Source organism: Homo sapiens, chromosome 15 (genome assembly GCF_000001405.40).
Source record: "Homo sapiens chromosome 15, GRCh38.p14 Primary Assembly".
NCBI classification, from domain to species: domain Eukaryota; kingdom Metazoa; phylum Chordata; class Mammalia; order Primates; family Hominidae; genus Homo; species Homo sapiens.
Window position 1 is genome coordinate 91,398,138 of NC_000015.10, and position 15,345 is coordinate 91,413,482.

The window sequence follows — 15,345 nt, forward strand, 5'->3', positions numbered from 1 at the left end:
CTTTGTCCTGTTACTCCTCTCTTGCTGGTCTTCCTTTCTGATTTGATAATTTTTTTTGTGATGGTATGCTTTGAGTTATTTCTCTTTATGTTTTGTGTTTCTACTACAGGCTTTTTCCTTTGTGCTTACCATAAAGCTTACATAAAACATCTTATAGTTACAACAATCTATTTTAAACTCATAACAACTTAACTTCAACTACATATAAAAAATCTACATGTTAACTTTTCCTCCTTCCACATTTTATGTTACCGAGGTCACAATTTACATCTTTTTATATAGTGTATTCATTAACAAACTATTGTAGCTGTATTTTTTTTGTGACTGTCTTTTAACTTTTATACTAGTCTTAGAAGGGATTTATATATCACCATTACCATATCAGAGTATTATGAATTTGAGTATATTCTTATCTTTACAGTGAGTATTATATTTTTATATGCTTTTGTGTTGTTAGCATCCTTTTGTTTCAACTTTAAGAACCCTTTTTAACATTTCTCATAAAGCAGGTCTAGTGTTAACAAACTACATCAGCTTTTGTTTGTCTGAGAAAGTCCTTATCTCTCCTTTGTTTCTGAAGGCCAGCTTTACTGGGCATAGTATTATTTTTTTTCTTTCACTATTTTAATATACATTATTCCAATTTCTCCTGGATGCAAGGTTTCAGCTGCAAAATCCACTGATAATCTTATGAGGGCTTTCCTTTTATGTGATGAGTCACTTTTCTCTTGCTGCTTTCAAAATTCTTTGTCTATTTTGAGAATTTGATTATATAATATGTCTTGGCAAAAACTATTTTATGTTTAATTTATTTAGGGTTCTTTGGGCTTCACGGATCTGTATGTTTATTTCCCTCTTTAGATTTGAAAAGTTTTATATTCATTAGAGAAGTTCCTTTCTCTGCTCCTTCTGGAACTTCTATAATGAGTATATTGCTTTGCATAGTAGTGTACTATATTTCTATATTATTTCTTCAATTTTTAAGTTTTTTCCTTATTATTTCTCTGACCGAGTACTTTCGAGTGACTTATCATTGAGTTCATTGATTCTTCCTTCTTATTGGTTGAGTCTGAAGTTGAAGCTCTATGTGGAATTTTTAAGTTCATCCATTGTGTTCTTCAGCTCCAGAATTTCTATTTTTTTTAATGGTTCCTATATTTTTGTTGAATTTTTAATTTTGTTTATGTATTGTTTTTCTGGCTTCATGTAGTTGTCTACCTGTATTATAGCTCACTGAACTTTTTTGAGATGATTATTTTGAATTATTTGTTAGGCAGTTCATACATCTTTATTTTTTTAGGGTTGGTTACTGGTGCTTAATTTTGTTCCTTTGATAGCGTCATGTTTCTCTGATTAATTGTGGTCCTTATAGCCTCGTAATGATGTCTGTACATTTGAAAAAGAGCCAGCTTTTTCATTCTTGACAGATTGCTTTTGGCAGGGAAAGCCCTTCACCAGTCAGCACATCCAGAGATTCTGGGTGGTTCAGCTAGCAGGGTTCATGGGTGAACTTGCTGCTGAAGTCCTTGTACATGTTGGTCTGGTGCCTAGGTCCACAGGGTCTGATCTGTTACCTGAGTCTGTGGGGTTGTGTCTAGAGCTTGGGTCCATGGGTATAGGCCTGGGTTCTGGGTCCATGAGGTCTGGTACGGCACTGGGGACTCTTGAGGTGGGCCTGATGACTGGATCCATGGGGACAGGCCTGGAACCTGAGTCTGTGTGGGTGGCCCTGGGAGCTGGGGCCATGAGGGCCAGCCTGGCATTGGGGTTGGCCTGGGGCCTGGCTGGGGCTATAGGGACCAGCCAGGTGTTGAAGTGAGTTTGGATCCTGGGCTGCAGTGGGTGGCCTGGTGCTGAGATGGGTCTGGAGCCTGGAGCCGTGGATACTGACTTCATGCTGGGGTTCACTGTGGTGGGCCTGGTGCTGAGTCCATGAAAACAGGCCCAGAGCCTGAGTCTATAGTGACCAGCGTGGAGCCTAGGGCAGCCATAAATGGCCTGGTTCTGGGGAAGGCCTGGAGCCTATGTTCATAAGAGCTATGGAGGTTGGAGCCATTGGGTCTTAGAGCCGTAAGGGGACAGCCTGGAGCTTGGGTTTACAGGGACTGTCCTGTAGCCTGTGGCTATAGGAACCTGCCTGGTGTTGAGTTCACTGAATCGTGCCTGGCATTGGAGTCCATGAAGTCAGGTGTTAACTTTACTCTCCTTCCCCCACATATATAGTATCTCTTTCCATGTTGCACTGCCCAGGTTTTGGGGCAGGGTAATGCAGATAATATGAAACTGTCTTTTCTACTCTCTTTAATGCACCTTTTCTTATTTCTCTGCTCCACAAAGGTGCTATAACCTCTCAGCTGGATTCCTTGTCTCTTATGAAGATATTTTCATGCACAGATGGCTGTTCAAATTGATGTTTCTGTGAAGGGATAAGTGCTGAAAACTTCTGTTTTGCCATTTTGCTCATGTCATTCTCCTCCGTTAACTTAAAAATATTTTTTGCTGCACTTTCTTGAATAACATATTGTTGAAAATTATCAGACCCTTGGCTTGGTTGTTGAAGTTCCTCCTTTAGAGCAAGTTCCTCTTATAGTTCTCTGTAGACACACTATAGTTGTAAAATGTTTGTAGAGATAATATTTTGTGTGTAGAATTAAGGACAAATTACACACAAATGTTTAGTGGGCAGTATTAGTAAGAAGATCTATTGCATTAGAAAAGGGAGAAGTATCAAGTTTATTTAGGAGAAATAAAATGAGTTGAGAAAATTTAAGGGAAAATGTGTAGTTCAATGAGACCTTGTGGAGAAAAACATGGAAGAAAGACATGGAAGAATATTTACATTCTTGGAACAACAGGAGTGAGGAAAGACAAGAGCACAGTTGGAGTTGTACCAGGTCAAGCAGAAGTTCCGTCGGAGCCTGAACTGAAAATGCACCGTTCCTAGTTACCTCGATAACAGCCCCACTTTCTGTTAATAATACTCTAATGAGAAAAATCTTGCAAAAATAGTCAGAAAAGGCAGAGTCACATATGGTTCAATGTGCTCCACCTTAGTAGAAAGTCTCAGGAGGAGTTTGGGAAGGATGGTGCTGCAGGCAATGGATGAGATAATGATGATAAAATTTTCAGCTCTGTATAAAAGGGCAAGCGAAATACATGCTTGTGAATTTCTGGGTGCTTTGCCATGTTGTATTTCCTGATAAATTTTATCCCAGTTAATATGAAGAATAAACTCTGATTATTATGGTTATCACTTGCTGGGTGTCTATTATTTTTCAGAAACTGTATCAGGAACTTTATATAAATCATTTAATTACACATTTCCAAACTGCACATGAATTAGTTATTATTATGATCATTTTATAGATGAAGAAAATGAGACTCAGAGCAATTAATAAGTTGCCCAAGGTCAGATAGCAAGTAAGTACCAGAAATAAAGTCCAGATTAATCTAATTCCCATACCCTTGCTCTTTCAATTATGTTTCAGGGTTGATCACAAAAAGAACCACTCTGTATGCTTAGGATGATTTACTACCTACTAAATTTAACCATGGGGCAATCTAATAAACTGGGTAGAATATATGGTTAAGATAAAATTTGAGAAGAAAAGATTAAATTAAAATAGTTGGTACATAACCAATGATCAGAATATTCTGTCAGTATTCTAGAAACTTATGTAAGAATAAACTGGATGCTGACAAAATTTTATTATATTAAAAAATTCACATTCTTCATACACAAATCTTGTAAATAACCACTATTAAAGAAAGGATATTTACCTAGAAAAATCTGGGGTGGTCAACCAGTATATAACCATTCCTGGGGTGAATGTCCTTTTCATCTTAGGCCTCTGGCCAATTTATCCAAGGGGTAGATATCTGACTTCAAAATATTCTGTTTTATAGGCAATTACAACTTGCAAGGGAATACACAGAGGTCACAGGGTAGTAGAGTTGAGTTATATTAACAGCAATTCTTTGGAGAGAAAAAAACCACCTTACACTACCATGCTCAATGGCAAAGATTAACAGAAGGTACAGCAACATTATATAAGTTGAAACACTAAGGGCCTAGACCAGTTAGGGATACATTATTGGGTAACTTCACTGGGCAAATAATTCTGAGTAACTGAGTTGCTGGCTAATGGTAAGAATAACATGGAAGTCATAAATACTAGCTAGAGCCTTGCTGTAGTCTGAATGTTTGTGTGCCTCCAAATTCATATGCTGAAACCGAATCACCAATATGATGGTCTTAGCAGGTGGGGCCTTTGGGGGGTGCTTAGGTCATGCAGTCAGGGCCCTCAAGAGCGGGATTAATGCTCTCACAAAAAAAAAGACCCCAGAGAGTTAACTTGTTCCTTCCACCACATGAGGACAGTGAGAAGGTACTATCTATGAACCAGAAAGCAGATCCTGTCCAGACACCGAATCTGATGGCACCATGAGCTTGTACTTCCCAGTCTCCAGAACCATGAGAAATAAATTTCTACTGTTTATAAGCTATCGAGTTTATGGCATTTTGTTGTAGCAACCTGAATGGACTACAATAAACCTCATGACCAGTTTCAGCAGCAAATAAAAAAATCTGCACTTGCATTTCTTTGCATACTAAACCTATACTAGGTCAATATTTATATTAGTATTGATTCCCTAACCTTTCTCCCCTTCACAGGCTGTGTAGTTGCAGAATGCCCAGATGAAATTATTACACATATATAATACAAATGGATATCACCCAGGGAGCCTGATTTCAAAAAAAAATGTGGTATCATGACATCGTACCTTGTTTAATAGCTGGGCATGAATTTAGGTCATTTCCCATTTTAGAAGAAGACAAGAGTGTTAGTTATTATGTATGGATTAATTACTTTTAGTTGAATTGAGGCATTTGTGGATAGATGGAGAAAAATATATATATTGAGTATAGAGAAGTGAGAGAGAAAGAAGAGAGAGAGAGAGTGTGTGTGTGGGTCTGTGTGTACGTTCGTGTGTGTGTACACAACCACCACAATCAACAGGTGGAATGTAGGAGACACAAACTGCGATGGTTGCTCAGCTCCATGTAGTTACCCCAAGGATAAGCCTATGTATTCTACTCTGTCCCCTGGACATAGCTATATGCTCTCAAAATACAGATATCTGACCCAAGTTTGTTCAGTTAGATTAATTCTTCTAATAATTGGAAAACCTGAATTGAGATACATAGAAACAGAGAGTGTCAGAGTTGCACGACGCTAGGCAATGCTATAGAAAGCATGTTTCCATTCCCCAGCTTCTGGAGGTCTTGGAACTTCTGTGTTTCAGTTCTTCCCATAGCTTAATTGTTCAGTCCTTCCTTTATTCCATGCATTCTCCAAAATCTTTGTAATACGTCCTTTGCTTCAGGTTTCTAAGAATGGGAAAAATAAGGCAGATAATCTAATTTTAAAATTAAGCAGAACAGAGATGGCTAATAAAAATGTATATATTTGTTTAGGGGCTGTGTTCACATATCACAGAAATAAGAGGGACGTATACTCTGGTTATATTTCAGATGCAACTAATCTGATATCAGCCTTCTGAAACTGATTCTTTCTTTATCTTCCACATCGCTCATGAACTTCCTTCTCTGAAAACCAGTTATTTAACTTGATTCTTCTTTATATAATTAAATATTGATTTTGGCTATAACTAAAATAAAAATATAATAGAAAGTGTTACACAAATAGGGAATTCATTTTTTTTTTTTTTAATGAGACAAGAGATACAGAGGTAGCTCTCAGGAGGCAGCTCACTGATACCATTGAAACCCAAGCATTTTCTTTCTTTCTGCTTCAGTGTCCCAAGCATGTGGGCTTTCTTTCTCATGGTTGTAAAATGGCTGTTGGAACTCTAGGCATCAAGCCAGCATGACAGACAGAAGGATAAAACAGAAGAGGTGGCACCAACAGCTTTCTGTGGATGTCACAATGACTATAACTGTTGTATGGTCACCTCTGGCTATAAGGAAGGCTGGAAAATCAATTTTTTTTAAAGTAGGAAAAACAAGAAGCAATAGGGTTGACATACGTGCTGAGTGAATCAACTAACACTATCTTCCATAGCTTCTAGAATAATCAATCTTAATGAATTTTCTTAGGTATGATGATATTTAGAAATAAAAGTGAAAAAAAGCTCCTTAGTACAGTTTGCTGGTTTCCTGGACAGAAGTACAACTTTATGCTGAAGTCTACGTTCACTCATACCTGTTGCTAATAGACTTATGTTCCTAAATCTGTATCACTTATCCACTCAGCATGTGTGTGCATGTGCCTGTGTGTGTATTCCATTTTTTTATTTTTATTTTTTAAATTGAGACAGAGTCTCACTCTGTCACCCAGGCTGGAGTGCAGTGCTGCAATCTCGGCTCACCGCAACCTCTGACTCCTGGGATCAAGCGATTCTCCCACCTCAACCTCCTGAGTAGCTGGGACTACAGGTGTGCGCCACCACGCCTGGCTAATTTTTCTATTTTTATTAGAGATGGGGTTTCCCCATGTTGGCCAGGCTGGTCTCAAACGACTGCCCTCAGGTGATCCGCCTGCCTTGGCCTCCCAAAGTGCTGGGACTACAGGCACGAGCCATCGTGGCCTGGCCCTGTAATTCCATTTTTTAATGAGCAAAATATGTACATCAAAAAGAATCAAGATACACAAAAGTTTTTCTCTCATCCTTGTTCTCTACTCATTCATTAACCTGTCTCAATGCCATCAGTGTTTTCAACTTATTGGGTATTCTTCCAGAGAGAGCTTATATATTCATAGGAATTGTGCAGTCCTCTCTTAAAACCACTGGTTCCATATTTGCACATTTCACAAGCAAGTGACTATGCCAATGTCTTTACCAAGGGAAGAAAAAGTGTTGGATCTTCATTCAACTATTATGTGCCAGCTGCCTCTATACATCCTATCCCATTTAACCTTCATAATGCCTTGCTGAAGTTGATACCTGCATGTTCAGCATGGTAATCTGAGGTTCAGAATATGTCTCAGTCCATTTATATTGCTGTAAAAAAATATCTTAGACCGAGTAACTTATAAAGAGTAGAAACCTATTTTTCACAGTTCAGGAGGCTAGAAGTCCAAGATCAAGGCACTAGCAGATTTGGTGTCTGGTGAAGGCTGGCTCTCTGCTTCACAGATTTTACCTCTTGCTGTGTCCTCACATGGTGTAAGGATGGAAGGCGCAAACTCACTCCCTCAAGCCCTTTTATAAGGACACTAATCCCATGTATGAGGGTGGAACCCTTACAGTGCAATCACTTTCCAAAGGCCCTATATCTTAATACCACCACCTTGAGGTTTAAGTTCTACCGTGAGTTTTGGAGGGACACAAACATTCAAACCATAGCAGGGTAGTTAGATGACACATATTAGGCCAAAGAGCTAATCAAGATTTGAAAGTGGAATTTAAATCTGTGTGCTTTGGTTTGCCTGCCTCTGAAATATCTTTTTTTTTTTTTTTTTTTTAAAGAAAATGATGTTTATTTGGAAATAGAGCATTGCAATGGAAATACACACGCCATAGTAAACTATGTGTGTATTCGGAGAGATAAAAGAAGACACAGGTGTTTTTGTTTGTTTGTTTGTTTTTTGAGATGGAGTCTGTCTTTGCACTGTCACCCGGGCTGGTGTGCAATGGTGCAGTCTCGGCTCAATGCTACCTCCACCTCCCAGGTTCAAGTGATTCTCCTGCCTCAGCCTCCCAAGTAGCCAGGATTACAGGCACCCACCACCACACCTGGCTATTTTTTTTTTTTTAATTTTTAGTAGAGATGGGGTTTCACTATGTTGGCCAGGATGGTCTTGAATTCCTGACCTCATTATCGGCCCACCTTGGCCTCCCAAAGTGCTGGGATTACAAGAAGACACAGGTTTTTTAAAGGAAAAAATGAGGACGATTACGTAGTTGTTTTAAAAGAAATAGCCTTGGCTACATAGATCAGTGGCAAGGGTTATGGCAATCTGAAGTTGGACAGGCGGTTGCTGGGCAGATAAAGCATCTATTTGTTGAGATCCTCTATTCGTGTGTATCTGAGCCCTTGAAGCATCAGGTTTCTGCTGGACGATTGGCTCTCTCTGCCACAGTGGACTACACAGGTCTTCCTCCTCTGCTACTCTGTCTTCTAGCTGATTCTTTAACAAAGTATGCTCAAGGTTGTGAAAGCTTGGCCTCTTTCCTTGTGGCACTTAGAGCCATGATTTGAAGTGAGTTGATGGTCAATAAATGTCCATTAATTAAATTACTTGGCACTCCCTCTGACCTCAGCCTAGAGCCCTTGCTATTGCTTCCTCTGCTCCTAAAACTCCTGCAGCTTTGCTCAATTGTTTTTCTTTTAGGATTTCTCCTTTTACCATACTTATCTCTCTAGAGACTTGTTTCTCGATGTGTGGACCTTGGACCAACAGCATCAACATCACCTAGGAGCTTATTAGAAATCCCAGCACTTTGAGAGGCCAAGGTGGGTGGATCATGAGGTCAGGAGATCGAGACCATCCTGGCTAACACAGTGAAACCCCGTCTCTACTAAAAATACAAAAAATTAGCCGGGCATTGTGGCGGGCGCCTGTAGTCCCACCTACTCAGGAGGCTGAGGCAGGAGAATGGCATGAACCCGGGAGGTGGAGCTTGCAGTGAGCCGAGATCGCTCCACTGCACTCCAGCCTGGGTGACAGAACGAGACTCCTTCTCAAAAAAAAAAAAAAAAAAAAGAAATACAGATTCTCAGACCCCACCCTAGACCTACCAGATGAGAATCTATTTTCACAACATCATCTGGTGGTTACTATGCATATTAATGTTTGAGAAACACTATTCTAGATATGCCTACAGGTGAAGTCGAGTCAGCTGCCTGAGGTCACATTTGAAATGGTTTTATAAGTACTTACAAAATACACAGAATTTCTCCTATGCTCCTGAAAAGCCTAGAAAACTTACTATATGTTCATTAAGAAAAAATTTGCTGACCTCTGCTGTAGAATCTATGCCTTACTGTACTTGAATTTGGGATGGATATTTAATCTTGCTTTTACCCATGTACCATGGGCACGGAGTTGAGTGCTGATTCTGCCATGCTTCTTCTTCTGTGCACTTACCGTGTTTTGTACATTCACATTCATGACTTCACACTATGATTTACATTTTGTTTGTATGTTTGCAGGTATGGTTCTCTACTAGGCAGAAAGCTTCTTGAAGACAGATGAGGCCAGGCTCCCTAGAAGCAGAGCCTGGAATGAGGATTCTTGTTGAGTGAGTCATTGAAGGAGTGCTCTCAGGGAGAACCTGGAAGGGAAGGAGGAAAGCGGGACAGGCTAGAGGAAGAAGCTAAGCAAAGATGTTGTGGCTGCACTGGAGTCTAACTTCACTGTGATTTCTTGGGGTGCTCTGAAATGTAAATAACACTGTAGACTTGCCCCACCTTAAGGCAAGGGGCTGAGCTTTTTGTGCCACATATGTCATTGGCCTGGGCTGGCTGTGGAGGAAGGCATGACCTCACAGGCTTTTCTGGATGAGGCTGCTTCCCTTCGCTGAAGCCACCTGTGAGCCTTTGGCAGCCACTATTCAAGCAGCTGGGGTGGGGAAGAGTCAGTTCCGTTGTGGCTTTTTATTTTAATCTCTGTATCCTTGGTTTCTGGCACTCAGTAAGCATGCAGTAAATCTTTGCTACGTGAGTGAGTCTCTTCCTAATATAATACTTAGTCACCTGTTAATTAAAATAGACAGTACCCATTATCTTTGTTTATGTTCATGCAATTAATAAAGCAAATATTCTTCTGACTAGTTAGTTTAACAAGACTAAATGAGATCATCCAGATGAAGGTACCTAGCAAACTACCTGACATATAATAGGCAACAATAAATGTTAATTTCCCCTTAAGCTTAAATAGGCTATATATATTTTGTTAGGAAGAGTGTTTCCTGTTTATGGCTTGTAACACATTTTAATGAATCAAGAGAGATTTCTGCTATTACCTGTATAATCTCTACTTGAGGTAGAGATCTCTGCTTGAGGTAGAGACCTCAGCTGTGAAGAGGTATAATGATGGTATAATCTGAGCTGTTGTACAAACAGTGATATTAGAAAGTGAAGGAAGTATCAGAGAAAATATGATTAGCTGTTAAAATCATCTACACAAAAATAATGATTGCTGCCAGGTATTTAGTGCTTATTACAGGATAGGCACTGTCCTAGGAGCTTTATGTACTTTATTACCAGGCCCCCAAACTACCCTATAAAGTGGATGCTATAAGAGGTTGGTACACAATAGGTAGACAAAGTATGTAATTAAGATAATAGCAAAACAAGGGCACCAATATGTATATTTTTTTGATATTTAAAAATTAGCATTAAAATAGTAGTTCTGTTAAAAATCAGAATTTTATGGATTTTTTACATTTATTATTATTTTTTAAAACTTGAATTACATAGGGGATTACTACCACCTTTCTAGTGCAGAGGATTTCTGTAAGTCTTAATTTCATTTCCTCTTATCCCTGTGTATTAATTAACCCAGTTTCAGAACTGAGGAAACTGCAACTCAGAAAGGTCAGATAGCCACTGGCTCCATGAAGAGTCAGGAAGCTGGTGACAAAGAAATCGGAGGGCTGGAGGGTAAAAGCAGGCGAAGGTGATACTCAGAGGAGAAGGACACTGGAGAAGTCAGTCCTGAACCCACCAATGAGGTACCGCTGCAGCTATGTCTGGAATTGGCTCAGGCTGCCAATTCCAGAAATCCGGAATGAGCCAGATGAAACCGCTTTAGCAATCTCCAGCAACTACCCTTCTGTCAGAGTCAGAAGCAGAAATCTCTTTTTCCAGTCTTCTTATCTCTTGCCAGTGCCTCCTGTTGATAGAATCGACCGGGAAGTAAGCAGGCGGGAGAGTCTCAGAAATGGAGTTTGCACATACCCAGCCTCGTAGAGGAGAATAGAGAAGCTGGGTATGGGTTAGAGAGATGATATGTAAATAACCAGAACACCTATACAGCTGGAATGTGGTTTGGCCAGGCTATTTCTTTGTAGAACTAATATATTTTATGACAAAACTGTACTATTGAGCTAATCTATGTACTTTACTTGAAAATTCATGTTTGAGTTAATTTACTTTACTTGAAAATTCATGTTTCTTAGGATTGAAAACTGGTTCATTTGTCCTCTGATTTTGGCTTTTTATTCAGCTTTGAATATGATCTTTCAAAACAGAGAAGAAATTTTCTCATATAGGTGACTTTATTAATATTGGCATTGGTGCTCATGGGTTGAAATCTCAGCATTTTGGAACCCTGCTGGGATGTTCTGCTGCTACTCATTATGACATTTTCTCATCCCCCAGAGATAGCCTGTTTGAAACTGAAATAGCAATTTGTATTCCTACTTGCAATATCCCAGTTATTTGGTAGCAATTCTTAAAGTGTGTCTAGAGCCAACTGGCACTGAATTTTTCCATTACTGATACCCTTTTACTCATGATAATTTATGGAACACCACTAAATTAGGTAGTGGGAATACTAGAATAGATAAGATAAAATTCCTGTTAATGGGAAGCTCATACCATAATATTTTACCCACGCTGAGATAGTTTTAGTTCCCTAGCAAACACTTTTCTCATAGAGAAAAATGTAAACTTAGGTTACACAGTTTCTTTTCTTTTTAAAGATACCTATTCTCCATTTTAATCTAAGGAATTCAATACAGAGGAGGGACATTAAAGATGGTAAATTTTGTATCCTAGTATATTCCTGCGATGCTCACTAGTTTAGCTGGATAGTCTTGTTTTATAACATTGGTCCTCTATCTCTTGCTGGAGTAATAATGGCTGAGAAGTAACTGTTGTCTCATAAAGAAGGACATACAGGAATACTGTGACCTGGCCTCATTTTGTTTTTGCTGGCACACAAAGATTATGAGTGTGACAAACAGAAAATTATAAGGGAGAGTGACTCCTTAGCTCCAGATCATAGAATATTCTCCAGCAAGAAAGTATTGGACATGACCAACTGTGAGGCACTTTTCTCTATTTTACACGCTTATTTAAAAAATAATGCTACCCATTACCTACAAAATCAACCAAGAATCCATGGCATGACATTCAAGGCCATTAAACAAAATTCCTGTTAATGCGAACCTCATACCCTAATATTTTACCCAAGCTGAGATCGTTTCTATTAGTTCCCTAGGAAGTCACGTTCTTCCTCCGATCTTTTCTACCATTAACAACTGATTCCTATGACCAAGCTCCAGCTTTGAGCAGTTTGTTAAGCAAAACAACCCTTTTTAATGAAAACAAAACATTATACAGAACATCAAAGTATAACATAAATGCAGAATTGGTCCGGTTAAGAACGATGGAGGATCCAGAATTCAAATGCCTTGTCTTGTTTGTGCTTTGGCCACACAGGCACTTATTCCAAATTCCAGACTGTTCTGGCTAGTCTCAATGTTTCATTTTTGTCTATTTCTTTGACTTTGTCTATGGATTTTTGTTGTTGTTGCTTGGAATGATCTTCTCTAGCATCTTGTGTGCAAATGCTTCTCCAATGTAAATTCCATGTCTTCCAGGAAGCTCTTTATAATTTGCTCCACTTGAAGCCAAGCTAGACCTCCTCTGTGTTTCCAGTGGTAGTATTCAGGGAAGGTTGTTGTACTGCGTTGTGAACCATCTTGAAGTCAGGGACTTCCTGTCTACCTCTGTACCATCATGTTTTGGACACCATATTAGGTACACAAGGATTTTACTACTTTTTCAAAGAGAGCAACATTTACCCTGATGTAGGTTTTTGGCAATTCTCTCTGGATACAGGTGAAGATTTTCCAAATTTATTTTGGTATTTCTACCACATGGTGTTATTTTTATTTCCCCTTGAGGCTCCACTCAAATGCCACATCACAAATAAAATCTTTCTTGAATCTTCCCAGATGAAAGTAATGTCAACTTCCTCTGAATGCTTTAAAACACACTTTCTGTCCCTCTCTGCATTTTCTAGCTTCTGTTATACAGCCATATACATGTCTTATATTCCACCCAATATTGCAAGTTACTTAAGAAAAGGTCTATGTTAAGGAACTGTAAGAGTATCTAATCTACAGTGAAGTCAAACATGGTTTCCAACCCAGGCTTCAAATCTGGGTGGCACTGATCAAAAGACTTGACCTCTCTTTGAATCTCAGTCTCCTCACTGTGAAATGAGGCTAACAATGTCTCCTTCAGAGATTTTTTTGGAGAAGATTAAATTCAACAAGATTAAAATATCTTACCTTGAGCATTCAAAATATAGATTCCATCTCCTAGATTAATTTTGAGACTTTCCTGGAAACTAGTATCATCCCTTGTATGAAGTATATGCTCAATTAATGTTTATTTGCATGTTGAACTGAATTAGGCCAGAGGAATTACTATTCTAGTATATATTAATGAAAGTTATGTGGAAAAAAATGGTTCTGTTGATAAGTTTGGGAAGTGTTGAATTTTATCTGAATAATTTTTTTAAGGATTTAAACATTTGTTTGGTTTTCTAAAGTGAATTATTTGACTCTTTCTTCACAGAGAATCTCACAGGGTGAGTGCCCTTTGCAACAGAGGTTGGGTAATACACAAACAAGGTACTGGCCTTAAAGGAAGTGGAAGGATAGCTTGTGTCTTTTCTATGATAGGAAGGCTGGCAGGCTGTACAGACTCCAAAGGTTGGTATTACCAAGGTAGATTCACCATGGCCCACAGTCTAATCTTATAGGCTCTTAAAGTTGGCTTGTCTTCCAAATGTGGGTTGGAAGCCCATAGAGTCCTCTTGTATAATAGCACTCATCCCAACCATGTTAAAGAAGTTACTGTACCTAGATGGCTTAGAAGAGTGCCTGGCACTGAAGATTTACATACCCCTTTAACATGCACATTTTGTTCTCTCATTCACTAGATAGTGCATTTTCTTTACTTTTTTTGTGCATTAGGAAATGGAAATTCAATTCAATTCAACATGCAAATAAATATTAATTGAGCATATACTTCATACAAGGAACTATACTAGGTTCTAGGGAAGTCTCAAAACTAATCTGGGGAATGGGAAATTGAGTTTCAATTTCCCAGTGTGGGTTCCTTCTGTGGATTGACTCACATTAACCAAGTTTAGAGACTGGTAAATAAACATCAATGTGAATTTGTTAATTTGCCATGAGCACTCTTATTTCCAGTAGAATACACAGATGAACTGGCCTGATTACATAATTTCCCCACCCATCCCCACAATGGGCTGATGCACAGAAAAGTCAAATCATAAGTAGAAGGCTTTGTGATAAGTCCAAATTAGAAAAAATAGGAAATTACTTGATTGATTTTGGGAAGTGTCCCTCAGCTAAGCCCTCCATCCTTTCTTCCTTTCTTCTCTTTTCTTCTTCTATCCATCCAACAAATACTTCTGGAAAACCAGCTACATGAGGCAGTACAGCAGAGAGATCTGGGAAAGACTACCTATTTTTCAAATGGCAAATGATCTGTTTGCTCCCACGTGACCTCAAGGAAGTTATATAACGTCTTAGTGTTGCAGAACCCTCTTGTGTAATAGCACTCGTCTCAACCAGGTTAAAGAAGTTACTGTATGCAGATGACTTAGAAGAGTGCCTGGCACTGATGATTTACATATCTCTTTAATGAACACATTTCATTTTCTGATTCACTAGGTTGTGCATTTTTCTTACTTTTTTAATGCATTGCAAAGTTGAGTTTCAAAATGATTAATTACTTTGCCCTAGGTCGTACGCAGTTGGTAAGTGGCTGAGCTTGAACAGGACCAAAAAAGTAAATACACTGTTTATTTTAGAAAATCATGGATTTTGGCACTGTAGGGGAAAAAAAATAAAACATAATAGTTATGCAGACTCTCATTTCTCTTTAAAAAATTCTAAGCCTTAAGAGATACAGGGTGGACCCTAATTTCTTTCTATATCATCAACTTTTGATTGATTTTGTCATTTTCCATATTTATGTCCTGTAGTTTGGAACTTCCTCAAATGATACCATAACAAATGAGATCAATTTTCTTCTGAAGTGTGTTTTTAAAAGACATTACAGTCATCCCAGACTCACGTTCTTAGCTATGAAACAGTGTATTTGGCAGTTTCCATTGCTTCTGGTTGTGATCAGACTGAATTTCAGACAGTCATCTTTAAGCTATGCCCTAACTAAGATGAATAGATATTGTCAGATGGCCTGTTTAATCACTTCGCCATCTGGCATAATTATGTTTATGAGTAGGACCTGCTTTTGCTTGGTTTGGGCAATAGCTAAAACCAACAGAACAAGGCAATCACATCTCCTAAGTTAAGACCAGGGCC

The 15,345-nt window shown here is 38.7% G+C and overlaps 1 long non-coding RNA gene across 2 annotated transcripts in view; it reads right to left on the minus strand.

Annotated features, from left to right (window-relative positions):
* Nucleotides 1–5,035: 5,035 nt before the first annotated feature.
* The window catches only part of LOC107984778 (uncharacterized), a 66,533-nt gene continuing 56,223 nt past the window's right edge, over nt 5,036–15,345 (minus strand). The window contains exons 1-4 of one of the 2 annotated variants that reach the window (XR_007064762.1): nt 14,339–14,480; nt 10,698–10,865; nt 9,117–9,303; nt 5,036–5,392 (exon numbers count right to left, since the gene is read on the minus strand). This is a non-coding gene — a long non-coding RNA (uncharacterized LOC107984778). Of the gene's footprint in view, nt 5,393–9,116; nt 9,304–10,697; nt 10,866–14,338; nt 14,481–15,345 lie in introns of those variants that run through there. The other variant, XR_007064763.1, reaches the window with a different exon arrangement.